This window comes from Homo sapiens, chromosome 2 (assembly GCF_000001405.40).
Source record: "Homo sapiens chromosome 2, GRCh38.p14 Primary Assembly".
NCBI classification, from domain to species: Eukaryota; Metazoa; Chordata; class Mammalia; order Primates; family Hominidae; genus Homo; species Homo sapiens.
This window is the reverse complement of record NC_000002.12, coordinates 79,182,817-79,203,566: the sequence shown is the minus strand read 5'-3', so window position 1 is coordinate 79,203,566 and position 20,750 is coordinate 79,182,817. Positions and strand designations below refer to the sequence as shown.

Here is a 20,750-nt window from a genome sequence, read left to right as displayed (position 1 = left end):
GTCTTTGAGCTATTTTGCACCTGTTTTTCAAATGCAGGTAACTGATGGATATGCAAACTGTGTCTTATCCAGCAGCATTTCCATTGGCTTCCCTCCCCACTGTGGAAAAAGTCTTTTTCCCTCCATTTGTAATTCGATTTCTTGACTCTATATGTTTGTGCTTTTTGACATTTACTTTGAACTAGTTCCTTTATATGAGTTAAATAAAATCTTTAACATATGTTTCATTTATATGAGTCATGATTTTGCCATTTTCTGAATATTATTTTCTAATGAATTTGGATCTGCGCTTAGTTTAAAATAATAACTGGAGTGAGATTTAAACAGTTCTTCATTAGAAATGAACAGGATTTTGGAGATTTGGGGACTGCCAACTTTCAAAGAGGAGAAAACATGCAACCCCAGAGCTGTGGGAAGCAATAGGAGAGTCCCAACAACTTGGCTACCTGTGGGGATGGGGAAGAAATGAGAGATGATGGAGGTGGCAGGGAAGGCGAGAGAAGAGAGTAGTAGTGAGGAAAATGGCAGGGAAGAAAGATAAGCTGTCAACTGAGAAATTCTACATGGAAGAAAGGAGTTAAAGAACTTTAAATCCATTCGGATCTACTGGTAAACTACATTGATCTCTGTTTACTATGCTTCAGGACCCTCTTCTTTCACCTCAAAGCTTTGTTAAAAGCAACTGCACCCACAGCTTTGAATTTGTGACCCTTTTGGGGATGAAATATGGAGATGCTATCTTTCATGGCTAGAGCCATGTGAGAACAATGGCTGGGCTTGTGGGAGAGAGATGCAGACTGTAGTAAAGACAAAACAAACAAACAAACAAACAAAGAAACGTAGAACCATAAGCCCTTCCACCCCCAAAATGTATGGAAACATTGAGGGAACTTCACCTAGTACAAGGGATGTAATATTGAGCTATTCTCTCATAGGATTAAAGAAAATGGTGACAGAAGCATTGAAGATGTGTTGATACCAAGGGAGCTGAAATTTAGGTTACAGGGGAAACGGAGTTAGGTTTCTGATATGGTGCATTCACGCAATCTTTCTTCTAAGAACAACTAAAATCTGCAACTGCCTGTAGTTCCAGATGTTTGGGAGGCTGAGGTGGAAGGATCACTTGAACTCAAGAATCCAAGGCTGCAGTGAGCTGTGATTGCACCACTTCAGTTCAGCCTGGGTGACAGAGTGAGACCCTGTCTCAAAAAAATAAAAAAAATAAAAAAAATAAAAAAACAAGTGTGTGGAAATTATCTTTTTTGAAATCTGACTGAGAGTACTGTGAAAGGAAAATAAATCTTGAGACTCCAAAATCACCAAGCTAAAGAAGAAAATCAAGCTGGGAACTGTTTAAGGTAAACCTGCTTCCCATTCTATTCAGTCATCCCTCTGAGGCTTACCTGAGACAAATGCATGTGTCATTGCTTCCTCTGCTAATCATTTATGTAAAAATGCAGATTCACTGAGCTGGAGTAAATTGTGTATTCAATGGAGGCTGATCAAGGACTCAAAAGATTACAATCATTTGTCTCTTATCTACTTCTAATCTGGAAGCTCCCACTTCAAGTTGTCCCATATTACCGGACTGAACTAGTGTACATCTCACACATATGGAATGATGTCTCATGTCTCCCTAAAACGTATAAAAGCAAACTGTACCACTGATCACCTTGGGTACATGTCTCAGGATTTCCTGAGGCTATGTCATGGGCATATCCTTAACATTGGCAAAATAAACACTATAAATTGACTGAGACCCATCTCATATATTTGGGGTTCACATTTTGCTAACCACGAAGGGATTCTGAGTGGAAGAGCTGCTGACCTTTGAGAAATCTCCTATTAGGGCTTGGTACCAGCTTGAGTTTCTTTATGGCTCAAACCAGTAGGACAATTTGCTGAGGCCTGGAAGCTCCCCCTCCAGAGAATCCCTGATCTCCCAAAATCTGGTCAATATTTAAAGATTATTTTGCTAGGAAAAATAATTTTTATTTCCAACTCTTGTTGGAAGAAGCTTTACTTCCTTCCAACAAGGAAGGCAAGCTTTCCTGCTTCCACGACAATGGAAGGCAGGTAACTTCTTTCTGGAATTCGAGCTCATTTCCAACAGGGAAGGAAGGTGAATTTGAGTTTTTTCCTGCTTCTAGGATGGTAGAGAGCAGTCTTCAGCCTGAGACCCATCCTCAGGTAAGTAGCTGAATTGGGGTTTTGTCTTGGCTAAAGTTAAGATGAACAACCAGCTGGTCTTAATTTCTCCTTACCATTAGAGTGCTCAGTAATTATATAAATTGTGTGATCATTTGTTTTGCTTAACTGTTTTTGTTGTTGTTTGTTTGTTTCTGTTTTTATTGTTTCAGTCTTTTTCCCATTGCATTTGACCAGCTCTATCTGACTTGACGAAATCTGAAGGAAAGTTCCAATTCAAGGGGAACAAAGCCTCTGATGTGGCTAAATTTCCACAAAAAAAGGGGGGGGGAAATGTTTTATTTTGATTACTTAAGGGGTTTTATTTACATAACAAGGCCATCTTTTTGCTAGCCAAGTCAAACTGAAAGAGCAATAGCTGTTGCCCCACATTGTAGTTTCATAGCTAAGGTTCTGACATCTGTTTTTTTTCTTCTTTACCACAATAGCCTGGGTTTGGTTTCTAAATCAAACCCTTTCAGATTTGATACTTATTACTTCCGAAATATTGGCAATTTGTCTTTGCTAAAATATGGTAATGAGATTTAAAAAGTTTTTTTTTTCAAGGAGCTCAATGGATTAGCTTAATGCAAATGTAACATCCAAGATGTGTGTGTATGTGTGCCTGTGTGTTTGTATTAAAAGGCCTTCATGGTTTGTTTTTGTTTTCTCCTGGGACCTTGCCTTTTTGAACAAGAGTTTTTGTTTGTTTGTTTGCTTTTTCCTCAATTGAATGAATTCTGTTTCCTTCATTTACTTCTGCTGTTTCTCCTTTCTCTTGTCACCCTCTGCTGTATAAGGAACCTAAAATAATTTATAATAGCCTGCAATTCCTTACAGAAAATGGAGAAGGTGCCAGACTCCGTTTTGCGGAGAAATCTCTGTTTTTCCTTATGGAACCCCAAAAGTGTAAATAGACAAGTTTGTTTCAGATCTTAAGTTGCTTGCTTTTGTATTGTGTTATCTGATTTTTTGTCTAATTTTTTTTTTTTTTTTGAGACGGAGTCTCTCTCTGTTGCCCAGGCTGCAGTGCAGTGGCGCAATCTCGGCTCACTGCAACCTCTTCCTTCCAGGTTCAAGCGATTCTCCTGCCTCAGCCTCCAGAGTAGCTGACGCTACAGGTGCCCGCCACCAAGCCCTGCTGACTTTTGTATTTTTAGTAGAGGTGGGGTTTCACCATATTGGCCAGGCTGGTCTCAAACTCCTGACCTCAAATGATCCACTCTCCTTGGCCTCCCAAAATGCTGGGATTACAGGCAGGATACTTTCTTAATCTGATACCTTCATGATGGGATTAGTACTGCCATGAGAAAAGACTAGAGAGTGGTCTCTCTCTCTCTCTCTCTCTGTCTCATTCTCTACGTCTCAATTGAACTATTCTTGCATAAAATTAAAGAAAGTGGTGGCAGAAGCATTGAAGATGTGTTGATATCAAGGTAGATGAAATTTAGGTTACAGGGAAAAGGGAATTAGATTTCCGTTATGGTACATCACACAATCTTTCTTTTAAGAACAACTAAAAATTGTGCAACCATCTGTAGTCCCAGCTACTCAGGAGGCTGAGATGGGAGGATCACTTGAATTTAGGAGTCTAAGTTCTATAAGCCAGGAACAGGACCCTCACCAAAAACTGAATCAGCTGGCACCTTGTTCTTGGACTACCCAGACTCCAGAACTGTGAGAAGTAAATCTCTGTTGTTTAAGTCACCTAGTCTATGGTATTTTGTTAGAGAAGCACAAACTGACTAGTGCAACTATTATTCATATAGTTTTTGTGCTGGTCAGTCCAACGCCACAAAATGACTGCTGAATTCTAGTAACTACACTATATTCGAGATAAAAAAGGGAGAAAAGAACCAAAAAAGGGCTATATCAGTTGTTAATTACTGTTTTTTTAATAAGGAAAACAAATGCTTTCCTAGAAGTCTTACATTAAAAACAACCACAATAACAACAACAACAACAAAACACTTTTCTTTTTTGGGCAAAATTGAAGCTTATCCTGAACCAATTACTGACTATATCAATGTTGGGTTATCATTGTTTTATTTGTGGGGACAAGAATAGGGAACTTTGCATTTACCTAAACAAGCAAAGATTCTATTAGTAGAGAGGGGTGGTGCAGGAAAGAACACAGAGCACACAGTTAACAATGTCTGCCACACATGTTATAGCCTCTCTTTGCCCCGTAGGGAAAAATTTTTGCTTCAGTGGAAAACTTTGCATTCCGTTCCTGGTTATCTGATTCTGATTCTATGGGAGCTATTTTACAACTTTGTAAATTGTAGATAACTGATAATGATGCAGAATAATTCTCATCTATAGACAGGCATGTGAATTCTGTATATTGGCAGATTTTATTTCTGAGAAAGTCAGTTTGCTTCCATTTGTATACTCATTGCAATGTTAATGAAACAAAAATGTGTCTGTTCTTTACACTCACCTTTGCACTGATTGTAACATCTTACCAGTTTCCTCATGAATAAGTTAAATAAAAATCTTAAACACATTAATCTTTTTATATCTCTGTAAGCCATGATTTTGCTTTTTTCTTAAAATTGTATTTTAACAGCCGGAAAACTATAAATTTATAAAATGAATAGTTGGTTTGTTTACTTGCTTGTTTATTTTTATTCTCAGGTACCAACACTATGCCTAAGACATTAGTAGCTCAAGTAATATTTGATAAATTGATCAATGAGTAGCATCAGTTAACCAAAAAGCAAAAGAGCTATATGGTAGAATTATTATTTATTAAAATCCTATACTTGATGGGAATATCTCTTAAGAATATACAATTCTTTTGCTCCTTTTGGTTTGTTACCTGCAATTAATATTCTACTGTGTAAACTTCCTCAGAGAGAGTCACTCTTCAAATAACTAATGCTGGTTTATTATCTGGGATAAATTTTCTTTGTGATTTTCATTTATGAAATAGCTTTTGAATTAGATTCCCAGAGGGAAGTTAATATAGTGTCTAGAGAAAATACAACTTCATGTTGTTTTGTTGTTTATTTAGATTAATTTTCTTTTTATTATAAAACCAATCCATGCTTATTTTCACCAAATATTAAAAAATGCACAAAGGAAAATGTATTTTTACCTTTCTCAAGTTAGTAAGATTTAGGTTATCATGGTTAAAAATTTGGTGTATATCCTTCTACATCGTTTTCTAGAAAATGGATCTAAGATTTGTATGAACATTTTTGTACCCTCATTTTCTTAGCTGTGTAGTTTACATCAGGTTTGTTAACATATCTGAATCCCAGTCTCCATGTGTATGAAAAGAAGATAAAAATGTACCTGATGGCTGGGCGCAGTGGCTCACACCTGTAATTCCAACACTTTGGGAGGCCAAGGTAGGCGGATCACGAGGTCAAGAGACTGAGACCATCCTGGCAAACATGCTGAGATCCCGTCTCTACAAAAAATACAAAAATTAGCTGGGCGTGGTGGCATGCGCCTGTAGTCTCAGCTACTTTGGAGGCTGAGGCAGGAGAATCTCCTGAACCCAGGAGGCGGAGGTTGCAGTGAGCTGAGGTTGCACCACTACACTCCAACCTGGCGACAAAGCGAGACTCCGTCTCAACAACAACAACCACAACAAAAAAAGTACCTGACAAGGATCACATAAGTAAAACCCACGGCACAGAGGCTAGGTAATCATGGATGCATGGATGATCAAGAAAAATTAATAGTAACATAAAACGGGATGAAACTCAAATTTCTCAAGGATTTCAAATAGCCTGTTCCTTTGCATCTCTTTAGAGTTATAGTTATCATTTAACATTATAAAAATATGCTAGGCAGATTGAATATACAAATGGACAATGGACACACCATACATTATGGTAGAACTCTGACCCACAACCTCAGCAGCAACAAGCACTGAAAACCAAATGACAACCTCTGTAGCAATTGGCCCAGAGAAGTTAGGACTTGGTCAATGACTGGCAGCTTCTATATTTTGCCCCAGTTTCCAATTGAGGTCCAACCAGGGAAAGCCAAATACTCTTCAAACTAATCACATAAGATGCTACACCTTTTGTTAGCTCCCTCCAGCTTCCCCTTACCACTTTTGTTCACTCTAAAGCTTTTCCTTCATGCCTTTGAGTCTCTGCCAAATTCAAGTGATGGTGGCTGACTTTCTTGCTATAGCAAGCTCTGAATAAATAGTCTCTGTTTGTTCTAATTCGGGTGCTCTTTATTTATTTCCACATAGTGCATATCTCTGGATTTGAGAGCACAGGAAAAAGAGATAATATTGTAATTTTCAGCACTTTGCATGTTTCAAGCTTTGAAGAAATGATCACAAAAGTTTTTCCTAAGGGCTGGTATCACAGGGGAATGAGAAAAACAGATCCAGAGAAAAGGAGGCAAGTCTTGCAAGGATATGAGAAAGAATCTGAAAAAGAGGGATGCTGATGGTACCATTTCATTCTCTTGCTCTACAAATATAAATCAGAACCATGAGAGATGCTGAGAAGAGATAAAGAAGCATGCATCCCTAAACAATAATCCTGCAAAACAAAACAGCTGATCACACACATTTTTGACCCTAAGCAACCTCAACAAGAAAACTTTGCAAGTCTTCCCTGAGATAGCACAATTTCAACTTCCCCACAGTGCAACAAATTTGCTTTGCAGAGAAGTGAAGTAAGTTGGTGTATAAAGCAGAACATTTTGAAATATTTTAGAGAAACCTCTACAAAGGTCTTAATGTTATTCAATGCTTTATTCATGGACGGAACCAGAATAATTATTAAGTATAAGGTACCCCTGGGCAATTGTACAAAATAGATACTGTTCAAAGATAATTTTAAGAAAAAGGTAAAATCAGACTCTCATACTGATTGAACACATAATAAATATTTTATTTGATTCACATGATAGGAGGGAACTAGGCAGAAGTTGTAACTGGTTTGAAGGAGAAGTTAAAACAACACTGATTTATATGGGTAAAAGAGATCTCAATATGACTTGCAAATGAGCAAAATTGATTTTTTTCAATGGCAGGTTGGGGTGAGTGAGGAAGTAAAAAATCACTACTTGGCAGGAGAATATTTGAGCACCACTAATTCTAACATATCAGTTAAAAAGGCCTAAGAGAAATGCATTTCAAACTCTAGATACTTAAAACTGACTTCAGGCTGGGTGCGGTGGCTTATGCCTATAATCCCAGCACTTTGGGAGGCCGAGGCGGGTGGATCACGAGGTCAGGAGTTCGTGACCTGCCTGGCCAACATGGTGAAACCCCGTCTCTACTAAAAAGACAAACAGCTGGGCATGGGGGCTCGTGCCTGTAATCCCAGCTACTCAGGAGGCTGAGGCAGGAGAATCGCTTGTACCTGGGAGGCGGAGATTGCATTGAGCCGAGATCGCATCACTGCACTCCAGCCTGGGTGACAGATCGAGACTCCATCTCATAAAACAAACAAACAAAAAACTGAGTTCATCCCCCTACTTTCCACCCTACCTCTGCACCTCTGCCCCCTAATTTCTTATTTACCTTTTATATTTGAAGGTCTAGAACTTTCATTGAGTGATATGTATTGATTCAGCTCCCTATGCCGGGCCTTGCTTTGTGTGAGGAGGATTCTGAGATGATAAAACTTGCTCCTTTTTCAGATGATATGACACATCCCTCTGTGTCTCACTCAGGTATGTGTGTCAGAAGTAGTGGATGGAAGGGATAAATGTATTAAGGTCCCTGGGCTGTGAAAGCACTGCAGAGGCCTGCTGGCATTATAATGTCTGATTTTCATTCTTCTGATTCTGTGAGTACAACAGGGTTGGTTTCCTGGTCTGAAGCAGGCAGCAAATACATTTCTTTTGGTTAGTAGGACTAAACTGAGACTGGTCAGGATGATCTGGTGGGAGGGTGTGGTTGTAAAAGCGATCTTGCTGTTAAAGCCTAATCAGCTAAAGACTACCAGAGACAAGCTTTAGGTTGGACAAAATCAGATTTAATGATTCAGTGCAGTGAGAAAGGACACCCCACAGGAATGATATGTTGCTGCTACCCAGAAGGAAGAAGGGAAGTCTCTTTTATGAGGTTTGAGTTCCTGATGAAATATTCTGAAAAGGGTCCCATTTCTGCATTTGGTGCTATTTCTGAGGTAGTAGAGGGAGCAATTAACTAAGGATTCATTGCTGCCATGATGTGAAAGAGGCTTAGCAACTGGCTATCTCCTGAAATAGAAAGAACAGAAGGTCTAGAGGCATATTGGTAAGAAAGCAATAGTCACGCAGAGATGGGATCACTGTGGCATTAAAAATTCCTCGGAAGAACACTGTGAATGTTTCAAAGAAAGCACCTGAATACTAATGCATGCCAATTCACAGTTCCTTCTCAGTGGTGGCAATTCCAAATGGCGATGTGAGCCTTATTCCCCAGGCAGGGCTTGGAAAATCCAAAAGAACAAAGAGAGCTTTCACGAAGTATTGCTTGAGGTTATTAAGTTGCAGAAAAAGAACAATTTTCTCTGAGAAACAGTGAAAGAAAAAAGCAACATTTCAGATTCCACTGCCAAACATAATCCTCTGGTGTCTCTGAAATGATTGTGCTTTTATAAGTAAATTAGACATTTTTGTGAACCACTCAAATTTCTCTGAAGGTGGAAAGTAGAGGCAGCCCAGGGATCCAGTGACAGCTGAAGGAGATGGAGCTCACATATACACAGGGCAAGGAGTTTTACCTTTGCCACATCTTGAGACTGACTGACCTGGCAGTTTGGGCATCTGCCCTGGTGGTTAGCAATGAACTACAGAGAAGCCACTAGCATCATATTACTGTGGCTACAAGTTTGCTCTGGGAACTAAACATTTTTAATAAAGTGTCCTGAAACCTATTTGCTGACCTCCACTGCATTTAGGGAATTGGGTGTGTCTTGCCAGAGAAAGACCAATAGCCTGGGTTAGGCCCTTTGGATCTGGGTCCTCAGGAACCAGCAAAACCCATATTAATCTAAGGTAGTCTGAAATGGAATGATATAAGTGGACATTCCCAAGTCTCTTCCAGTCAACTGACTCCTTAAGAGTTGAAGGCCTTGGTAGATGCACCTTCTTGCAATCCCTTGAAAGACCCTGCTGTATACTCACATGTCACCTCTTTTAACAACTCTAGCTTGCCCTCCACCAACAGTTTTATTCACAGCAGCTCAAAAACCCTCTCAGTATTCTTACAGCTGTGCTTAGAAATATCAGCTGAATAAACACTAGAGATGACAGGCTATCTTTTGAAATTAAGCTTATGAAGGATGGAAATTTTCACAAACAATTTACGTTCATGCCTCCGAATACATAACATCCAAATCCAGCAGGAAGAACAGGCTACCTGATATATAAAACAATACTCATAAAGTTACTATAGTACATATAAAAATAGCAAAATATTTCCCATGAAGTTATCATAATGATAAAAATGGCAACAGCATGCACTATGTGCAAAGCAATGTCGTAACAATTTACATGTATTAACCCACTTAATCCTCAAAACTACCCTGTGAAGTAGGTACCATTATTATCCCTTGTGGCAAATGAGGAAACTGAGGTATAGAATATAATTTCCATCAATAAATAAATTGTCTTTTAATGGAGACAAAGATGTTTACCTATAGACCATATCTTATGCTTAATATACAGTCACATTGCTTCTAGAATGAAATATCTTTGTTTCTTGAAGCTACATTTGTATAATTGCTTCCCTCAAAGCCTACTAGAGATGCCCTATTTGAAATTGGAGGTCAAAAATGGAAGGCAAAGAGCAATTTCAGTCATACATGACTTAATATTGGGGATACATTCTAAGAAAAATGTGGTTAGGTAATTTCATTACTATTTGAACATCCTAGAATGTAGTTATACAAACCTAGGTGGTACAGGCTACTACATACTTTGGGTACATGATATAGCCTACTGTTCCTAGGGTACGTACCTGTATAGTATGTTATTGTACGGAACACCGTAGGTAACTGTTACACAATGATAAATATTTGTGTATCAGAATATAGCTAAACATAGAAAAGGTACAGTAAAAATACAGTATTATAATCTCATGGGACCACAGTCACATAGGTGGTCTGTTGTTGACCAAAACATTATGAGGCATGTGACTGTATAAAGAGCATGACCTAGCAAGAAACTGGAAAAAACACTGAAATTTCCACCCAAGTAGAATGAATACATTATAGTAAAAAATTAAAATATCATACATGTGGATAAATCTCACAAAATTATGCTAAAAGGAAAATACCAAGTTACAGAAGAATATATAATATTTACATATAGTGTAAACTTATACAAAGCAGTACTAAATGTTGCTAGGGATACATGTAACATAGTAGAAGTATAAAGAAATGCATGGCAATGATAAATGCTAAATTCAAGAGGATAGTAACTTGAAGGGAGGAGGAAATGAATGTGATTGGGTAGGAGTAAACAGAATTCAAGTGTACTGTTAGAGTTCTATTTCTTTAATTGTATCATGACTCTTTTCAAATTATCATTCTTCACTTTTTATATATATAATATTTTAAATACTCTTTTGAAAATTGAAAGCAATTACAATTTAATAGAAAATCTACAATTCTTGTCACCTACTTTATTCAAGGGGCGAGGAGGATGGGAAATAAGCCTTTGGGGCCCACAGAACAAAGAAAAGCACAGCATCTGTCATTCATCAACTAATTTAAAAATATTATTTATTTCAGATAGAGAAAAATTTCGTCCATCATTTGATTATGTATATCAGCCTTTACATTTTAAATTAGATAATTCGCATGTCTTATATTTTGCTATCTCAAAAATATTCAGCTTAAACTCAGAATAATGCCATCTGGAACTATAGGCAACACTTGGTTATGCGTTTCAGAATTTTAACTGTGAGCGAAAAAATATTTGACTTTTCCATGTTAGTTGATGTCTACCCAGACCATCATGGCCTGATGTAGTTTAACTGCTTTCAAATGAGAGTCTCATTTATGTAAGTGAGGAACATGCAGGGTTAAGGTCATGTTCCAGGGCTACTTTGTGTTGAACACTGAAGCTGAGCCTAAGCTGTAAGAGTACAATATGCAGCACAAAGCATTTTGTGAAATGAAAATGAAATCTTAATTCCCCTGACCAAGTGAACAAACCCCTTTTGGCCAAGGAGACCCCAGAGAAACCTTAGCAACAACGTTTTCTAGCCATGATGGGTGTGGGAATCAGTCACGCCTCGTTACACCCCCTCCCTCCCAAATTGCCATTAGACTTTTTGTTCTAAGAGTTAAACAGAAACCAGCCCTGGAAAAAAAAAAGAAGGAATAACTCACTCTTCCACCGACTTCAACCAATAGCTTCGCACCTTGACCGGATCCCCTCCCCTTTTGTGGTTTTGACACAACAGCTGATCAACATTCCTTCCTGGTAAGTGACCAGCAACCATGGAATGGTTCTGAGGGATTCATGGAGGTTGTGTGAGGCATCTCTGCGTCCTCCATTTCACATTTTCACATATACAGCCTAATTTTATCACATTTTGATGTTAAGTCTGTACCCCAAAATGAACTTGGTACTATGTGACATAACATGTTTGCTTACCACACATGCTTGTGACTTCCCCTCATGAACATTCCTAGCCCCTCCTGTAACCTGATAAATATGTATATCTAACTTATCAGCCAAGTATAAAACTCAGTGACACGCTCCCTCCCTCAAAGTTTCTACTTTCGGTCTCTACCAGAGGCTGTGCTTCCCAGCCTGCAAGTTGTAGCCCTTCATAAGAAGTAAAGTTCTCTTTTCCAAATTTATAGATTTTGTGATAAGTTGACAATTTCCATCTCTCAGTATATGGTTAGGTTTAGGGCCCTTGCTCATGGTAGGCATTACAAGTTTAGTCTGTGACCAAGGTTAGGGTGGGTATCTTAACAGGGCTGGGTTCTGTATGACATAAGATTAATAACAAAGTTGAGGCTGAGGACTAGAGCTCTACAAGGTCAACACAACAGTTAATTGTCTCATCCCTGTTGCCCTTTAAGGAAGTGTCAGATGAAGACAGATGATATGCCATTACAGTGTATGGAGACACATGGTCTGTAAATCATTTGTTCAAAATGGAACTTAGCTGACATCATTGGAATGCTTCCCTGAGGGGAATTGGAGACTAACTTTGTTCTGATTATTTAAAGTGCTTAAACCAACTGTGAATCTGCAACAGCACTTGCAGCTCATTTCCCGCCCAGTCCCACACTTTTCTTCCACACCCACCCTGGACCCTGGGCTCCAGCAGTCAAGCTTATATTTCTAGACTCTGACAGTGTGTAATTGGACTAGAATTTTCCAGGCAGTCATGTTGGCAGGCTTTTGAACATGACTGTATTTGCTCTTATGTATGAAAAGGTAGAAAAGCCAGTCTGCGGAGAGCGAGAAAGCTGAACTAACAAAGAGGGAGAGATAGATGACTATGGGTAGAGTGAGAAGATGGCAGGAAGAGACAGGGACCACATTGGGCCAAGATGATTTTCCAGTTTCTGGATGAATAATCCTCTGTTAAGCTCCCCCTGGCTTATTAAAATGTATTTCTCTTACTTGCGACAAAAAGTCCTACTGAACACAACTCGGGTACATAACAGATAATTCAGGGAACTTACTATTTTCTAGTATAGGTATTCATCGGTAGCTCTCTGTGTCCTCTCACTGGTGCCCCGTCAAGCCATCATTTTCCCACTTTGGTACATGGTTGGTGGCCTGTGAATGTTTGCTTCCTCTCCAGGTGTGGCTACTAAGCCAAAAAGTAGACTTAGAAAAATCTTTCTAAACGGCAGGAGTCTACTTTCCAGCCTCAGAAAGGTCAAGCTAATGACAATTATTGAAAAGGAAAGAAAACATTTGTTGGCCACCTATTGTGTCCAAGTATGGTGATCATGAATGTAACTAATAGAAGAGAGGAATGAAATCCAAGTAGAAAGTGGTTATTACATGGGGCTTAGACTTAAACAGACGTTGAAATTCACATTTCCCAAGCAGCCAAAAATTTGAGAAACAAAATCGCAGAGAGAAGGAAACTACAGGGAACTAAGCTTCAAAATCTGCCTATAATCTCCCCTCTAAGCATTTGCCAACTCCTAAATTAAAAGGGTGATTAGTACAGATAGAGCAAGCAGAAGATAGTTGGTAGAATGTAAAGGATTTGAACAATTTGGCTTAATTGACATATTTGGAACATCCCAATCAAAAATTATTAGTATGATTATTGGTTTTAAACAATCCATGGGTCAGAGGAGGAATCACAATGGAAATTAGGAACATTTTGAACTAAATAAATTTCATTAAAACTTATGGTTTGCAGCTAAAGCAGTGTTAGAGAAATATAGTTTAAAAACATTTGGTAGAAAAGAAGAAAATAAATTGTGCCTTAATTTTCCCCTCAGCTTGACTCAACTTTACACAGGCTTCTTCTTGACTCTAAGTCTTGTCCTCCATCCTCTTAGAATAATTGCTTCAGAAAATTCTTTATTGTAAAATATTTCTTTGCACCTTTGCGATCTAAATCTGTTAAAAAGTCTCTTGTCAGTTTCACAGCCCAGGACCCTTCCTCAAGTACTGGGAGCTATCCTTTTGAAAGGTAATCATCAAGAAGAAATGGCCCCTATATCCCAATATCCGTGGGAGAAAAGGAGCTTAACTCCAGAGGGTGCCTTTCCTACTGTCAGAAGATTAGAGAAAGTTTACTTTTCCTTTGTGTAAAGCCAATTACCAAACACAGATGGTCTGTAGTTTCACTTGCCCAGCTCCTGAAAACTCTCCTGCCTTTTGCTTCAGCTGTGCTCTCTCCCCTCTTGCAGCAATATTATCGGAATTATACCATGGTGATATGATCAGAATCAACTTCTGTTTCCTTATCTTGTCAAGTACAATCTTTTCTTTGTTTCCATTTTAAAAGAACAGAGAAGAAAATAACAACTCTTGGAGAGTAGAAGGATGGAAATAATATGGTAAGACCAGACATCAATGAAGTAGAAAATAAAAGCATATTCGAGAAAATAATAAAGCCAAAAATTGGCACTTTGAAAAAAATCTGTAAAATAGGTACACATCTAGAACGAATGATTCAGAATAAAAAGAAAGGACAAATTATCAATATCAGAAATGAAAGAGGAGATTTTTATTTTACACATTTGTTATTAAATACTGAGTTATTCTTTTTGTGTGCACTGTGTTATAAACGGAAGTGAATTAATTTTTAACTTTATTCCTTTATTGAGTAGAGTCCTGTGTGCCAACGTGGGTCTAACCAGCATCTTGATGCTTGAGTTTCTCAGAACACCTAGATACTCACAGAAATTGATTCAACAAGTATTTGTTAAACATACGCAATGTGTCAGACACTGTATTGACCGGGTGTGGTTTGACCATATTTAATAATACAGATAGTGCCTGTTCACATAGAGCTTATAGTTCATCTCTGCACTAGTGATTTTTGAACTACTTTAATCAAATAAATAACATTGTGTATTGCTTTCAATGGAGTGGAGGGTAATTTTGACTGACAGAGCTTAAATTAATAAAGTTCTCTCTTTGAGCAAGCATAAACGTCTTTCACAACACTAACTCTCCAGTCTAACCCCTTCAAAGGAGCTTCCTCTATCCTCATATTTGTGCTTTTTCCTCCACTACTTACTCCCTGACTTTAAAATATCCTCCATCTTCCTTTCCACCTATGTGAATTCAACCTGTCCTCTAAGATCCAACTCAAGTTCTATTGCCCTCCCTTCAGTGATTTTTCTTCTCTCTGAGAATACGGTATTCTCTGTTGTCTATTGTCTGTACCTCACATTTGCCTCACAACCTTTGTTGCCTCTCCCATGCAATCCCCAAGGGATGCTATTTTTCTAACTGATTAGGTTCCAGCAATAGGTGGGGTCACTGTGCTAACTGTGCTAGTGGAGCAATACTTGCAAAAATGAAGTGCCCCAGGTGACACTTCTGCCTCTTCCTACCATGAAGCCAGAAAATGATGAGAATCAAAGCAAGGTTTAATGATTGGAGGTCGAAGCAGAGCAAGAATCTCAGCACGACCAATTTAGGAAAAAGATTTTCTATATGGTCCAGCCCAGCAACAAAAACTTCATCACTGGGGTGAGGAACAAAGTTTGCTTTTCTACTCTATTTTATCTAGTCTAGAATGTCATGCATCATAAGATATATGACTGCTGTACTTTGGGAAAAAATAAACTCTTTTTAATGAACATATTAAAAATCTTAATAGAAAATAATATACATATATCCATAAAATTACATAACATTTTTCTCTTTAGTTACCAGCTTTTTATTTAAGCATCTTTAAAATCTCTTTTGGACTCAGAAATTATGATATCCTCTTGCTGTTTTTTGTTAACTGGGCTTATGATCTTGATTAACTAAGTCCTTTTAAGTCTGAGGCTAGTTGAAGAACACTAAGTTTTCATATGTGTTTATTACTTGGTTTAATTTATTTTGTATGTTTCTTCCTAATAACTCATGTATATCCTGATATTTAAACAATGGTATTGACAGAAAATGGGCTTATGTTTGAATGACAGAATTTTATGAACCACTAACCAGTCACAAAAGTCTTTCCTACTTGAAACTCTTGAGCATTATTTTAATCCAAGATATTTAGCAGTTCATACTGCCTTTGATTATTAACAGGCAGCCTTCTGTGAAATCATGAATTTTTTGCTACAATGATTCTGGTGTAAATCTTTGAACACATTTTAAGTAACAATTAAAGATGCATAACAAGTTAAAATGTGCTACCAATACATATGACTCAAAAGGATTGAATAGAAAACTTCTCATATGCTAAAGTTTCTCCATGTGTGACCAATGATTATTGGGTCATAGCTTTTCTGTCAAATTTCCTTTATTATTAGTTACACATTTAAAATTAAGAAACTTAAAAATAAGCGTCCTTGTGGTCCCAGCTACTTGGGAGACTCAGGCAGGAGAATCACTTGAGCTGAGATTGCGCCACTGCACTGAATTGCTTGAACCTGGGAGGCAGAAATTGCAGTGAGCTGAGATTGTGCCACTGCACTCCAGCCTGCGCGACAGAGTGAGACTCTGTCTCAAAAAAAAAAAAAAAAAGAAAAGAAAAGAAAAGAAAAGAAAAGAAAAGAAAAAGAAGTGTCTTAGAATAAAAAGCATATGAAAATACAGTGTTAAGATTTTTTTCTTTGATCCTTCTACTAGGGAATTTATGGATATATCAGACACAAATGTGGATATTTCTTGGTCCTCTTGATATAATACCATTCATAAACACCCCCATTCCACCATTATTTTCAATAATCAGCTATAAATTATTTCAGAGAAATGACCTTACAGGTAGGGATGTTTTATTCTTCCAAGGTCTTTCAGGTTTCAAAAAATAGAAGGTTGCATTGTATAAAAGAGGTAGAAATGCAGGAAAACTGTGGTGGACACTTACTGAATTTTCAGCCTAGAACTTTGTTCCCATAAAGTAGCTTCCTTTTCTAGCCACAAAGTGAGAATGGTTGCTTTCATGCGCAATGAAAACCCTTCCCTGGGAATTTGGAACACACAGTGGTGAAGTTTTGTCTCTCTGATGGTCAGACTGTAATGTGAAGACTGAGAGCCACTGTATTTTAGGCTATGACAACGGGAGAAGTAGAAGAAACTGGCGTACTGTTTCCTCTTAAAAAGAAACTCCCTGAAAAGGGATTGAAGCAGGGAGAGGTGCAGAGATAGGAGAAAGGAATCAGCCTCATGGCTGTGGCCCTGGATACAGGTCTTTCATTGTACCTAACAATTTTCCTGATATTGGTGATGTGAGACAAGCTCTTATCTTTATGGTAAAATAATGTATTTATTGCTTAAGTTAGTTGAGCGCATTGATTGCTTCTAATAAAAAAGAACTCAGAAACTATCACATAAAAGTGAAAGTGTTTTAGTTCAGGATACAGCAGACATTCTGGTATACCATGAAAAGTAGAGTGCTCATCTCTTATGAAGCAGGCACTCTTATTTCTTATCCTTGTCACCTCCTCTATCCTTTGATGTGGCTCCAGTAATGATTGTTTATAGAATAAAATGAGTAGATGGATAAATTCATGTCTATACTTTTTACTTCCTTTTGCCACTTCTCAAAATGTTGGTATTTAGATTTTCAAAGATGAAAATATCTTTGCCATGTTTAGACACTATCAAGTGTAAAGTGTGAGTTTTAAGCAGATACCTCAACCCAGGTCACCTCATCACCAAGAAAACCCCAGGCACCTAGCCTTAGTCTAAACAGCTGTTGCCAGAGTAGTAAAATATTGTGGTATAAAGTATGGTAATCTGAAATAATAATCCTTCTGTAGCAGCTTTGCTCAAAAGGTGGCTGCATAACTGGCAGGCACTTTTAAGTTTCCTAACTTACCAAACACATGCAGCTGCTGGTGTGCTGTCTTAAAAAACATATATCTGACAATAGCCTGTTGATTTATACACATACTTCTGTAAACACCACACATCTTCCCTTTTCCTTCACTAACAGTCATTGGCAATTTCACCCTCCATTCCCCTGTTCCCAAATCAGAAAAAAGAAACTCAAAAGAACACAATCTAACATCCCCAAATGACCAGTTTTCTTGGTGGGAACAACAGTGACATAATTAACATTTATTAAATACTCTTCTGTGTCAGACATTGTGTCATTATAAGCATTCTCTAGTATTTGGAGCACCCATGAATTGTAGAAGTACTTATCTAGGTATTGAATTTCATGGACTAGATATGATAGGCTGTAATAGGTTTGCTAATTCTGTATTTTATTAAAAACAAGACAAAGCAAAACAAAATATTTACTCTCTATCCTCATCATCATTTATAAATACAGGACATTCTAATGTCCCAAGATACATGAAAAACATAATCAGAGGTGAAATTAATTGAGTAAATTTAGCTTTATAAAGTACTCACCAAATTCCTTTTTTTTTCTGTTCTTGGTACAGCCGGTGAAGATTTGAGATGGACTAGCACAAAGTACATCTCACAAGCCTTTCAAAGCTGCTGTTACATAACCCTCAAGATTTCCCGAGGTGGAAAGAAGACCTTCATTCACTTAAATCAGAACATCGGTAGACATTACTTCCCACTTGGATGATTGTAGCTTCCTTCAGCATAAGAGGGTGGAGTGTTAAAAGACATGATATGACAGCTATTAGGCTCAATTTCTCTTATCCTGAAAAAAATTTGTGATAATGAAGTAGCAGTGACACATACAGTACAGGCTATGTGTATTCACTTGCAGAGGAGGAGACTCCAAATGTTTCAGACATACCAGATGCATATGATGTTCCCCCAGGACTCTCTCAAAAGTTTTCTTTGTGTCAGGTTTCCCTCTCTCCCCTTGAAAACAGATCTCATTGTGTTAACCTCTAAGGCAGCCATTGAATTCAATGCTATCCCATGGACCACTGTGTTTAGGTCTGCTAAATATGGTTTTAGCACAACTGGCATCACTGACAGCCAGCCAAGAATTGATATAAACCACAGTAGCATATCATGCTAAACAAAAGAGAAGGGAGTAGTGGGATATGATAATATCTACAATAGTATCGACCATTTCTCTGTGGAGCTGCTCATGTGGCCAAACAAGGGTCTGAGAGACAACACAAAACATGTCTAAATGTGATTACTCACTAGCCAGGGGTGACTCTCCTTGAATCTCAGCAGGATGAGCGAACACTTTTCTAAGGGCAGAACAGAGAAAATGGTGGTGAAAGATGTAGAATTGAGTTGGAGATACTACATTTGATCCAAGATAAGATGAAGAAGATTCAAAACTCAAGAACTTGATGAAAAACCCAGTTGACAGGAAAGCTGTGATAGAAGTAGCCAGAAAGAGCCAGCTTCTGTAGAAAGCTTGGTAACCTGGTAAAATAGAGATGAAGGATGACAAGGAACCCCTACAAAGCCACAATTCAGAAAGAAAGCGATAAGACTCAGAAAACCTGCTCCCCTACTTCTCACCTTAAGAAGGGCTACAGAAACTAAGCTTGGATAAGTTGCAACCTGTTATGGCTGCTGGCACTTTTCATTCTAAGAAATTTCAGGTTGCTTGGGCCTATGAAAACAGAAGACTTGCAGACTTCTGCCATTCTAGCAGATGCATTTTTGTCATACTCTCACATTTCTAAAATCAGAAAGAGTCTTTTAATCACTATGCACCCTTTTATGGAAATATCATTAATTCAGTGGTACATCATATTAATTGCTTTTTATAATGGTGACACCATGGGATTGAGGGAATAATATCTCAAAACTTCATTTATAACTTGGAAGAATGGTTCTTTGGACTTCAGATTTCATTCTTTCCAGTACTAACTGCTACTGTAGCCTCAAGAAAGAATTGCAATAACTACAATAGAGGAGTTAGGCCTATGCAAATTTGAGAAGTTTGTAATATTTCTTTGACCTTTTTTTCCTGGCAACAAAATATAATTGGCAGTGATTGGGGGGAGAAGGAGGTGAATTATTTATATCAGTATGGTTTTGTCTTCTGTGCTTTATGGTTTTTAGAGCAATACTGACACCTCTGTTCAAATAAATTAAATGCCCTTTCCAACAGACTCTCTTGACAAGAAAAAAAAATACATATCTTCAACTCCCCTCTCCCAAAGCAATCCAGCTGAAGGAACAAAACCCTAAAAGAGTATAGTAAAATTCATCTTTAATTAACCTGCCACAGGTCCATATGACAAACTTTGTCAGATACATAAAATTTGGGTCAAATCAAAGATAAGCACAAAAGACTTCCCATGGTAAGTCCAGTGCAGAGGTCTGAATATAAGACAAAAGTTAGAATAATGCCCTGAAAATGACCCTTTTTTGAAACAATAAGGATAGGGAGAAATACAGAAATTTCCCCCGACTGGAGTAATTTTGTTTTACTTTTTACATTGAAAATTTCAAGAATATACAAAAGCAGATAAAGTCATGTAATAAGCCACGTGTCCATCACCCAGCTTTAACAATATTCAATTATAAATGAAGCAGGCAGAGCAGATGTAGAGATATACTAGGTTCTTGGTAGTGGATCAATCATTACATAAAATTAGCTTAGCTTCTGTATTTTTATTTACACAAACAATACCCCAAACAAAACAAAAATTCTATGGCTAAAGTCATTGGGTTTCTTAAGTCACAAAAAAATCCCAAATGGTATAAGATAAGCAGGGTGGAGAATATTGGATAACAAGGAGCAGAGATCTAAGTTTGCAATTTTAGATGAAAGTCAATAGAGATAAGTCCATAGCGTGCAACAAACGTTTGGGAGATGAGGGCATTGTATGGTCACTGGTTTCCCAACAAAGTAATCTGCTGTCCTCAAGCAAGTGAAAGGATGAGCTCTAAAGTAGCCGCACACTTCTAATCAAGGGAGCACACATAGCCCTGAGGCAGATGGTATTTCAAATTTGGCAAGTGCTAAGAAAGAACTTACCCAAATTAGAGTTACCAGCTGACAGCTGCTCGTTTTGCCAGTTCTCAATTCCGCTGCCACCTCCCACGCCCAAGCAATACAAAATCTATCA

The 20,750-nt window shown here is 37.9% G+C and overlaps 1 protein-coding gene across 1 annotated transcript in view; it reads right to left on the bottom strand.

The window, feature by feature from the left end:
* The window catches only part of CTNNA2 (catenin alpha 2), a 1,463,404-nt gene extending 1,445,214 nt beyond the window's left edge, over positions 1 to 18,190 (bottom strand). Inside the window, exons 1-2 of the mRNA NM_001399737.1 lie at positions 18,136 to 18,190; positions 5,491 to 5,608 (exon numbers count right to left, since the gene is read on the bottom strand). The gene's annotated coding sequence lies outside the window, so the exon portion shown is untranslated. The remainder of the gene's footprint in view (positions 1 to 5,490; positions 5,609 to 18,135) is intronic.
* Between the last annotated feature and the right edge of the window lie 2,560 nt (positions 18,191 to 20,750).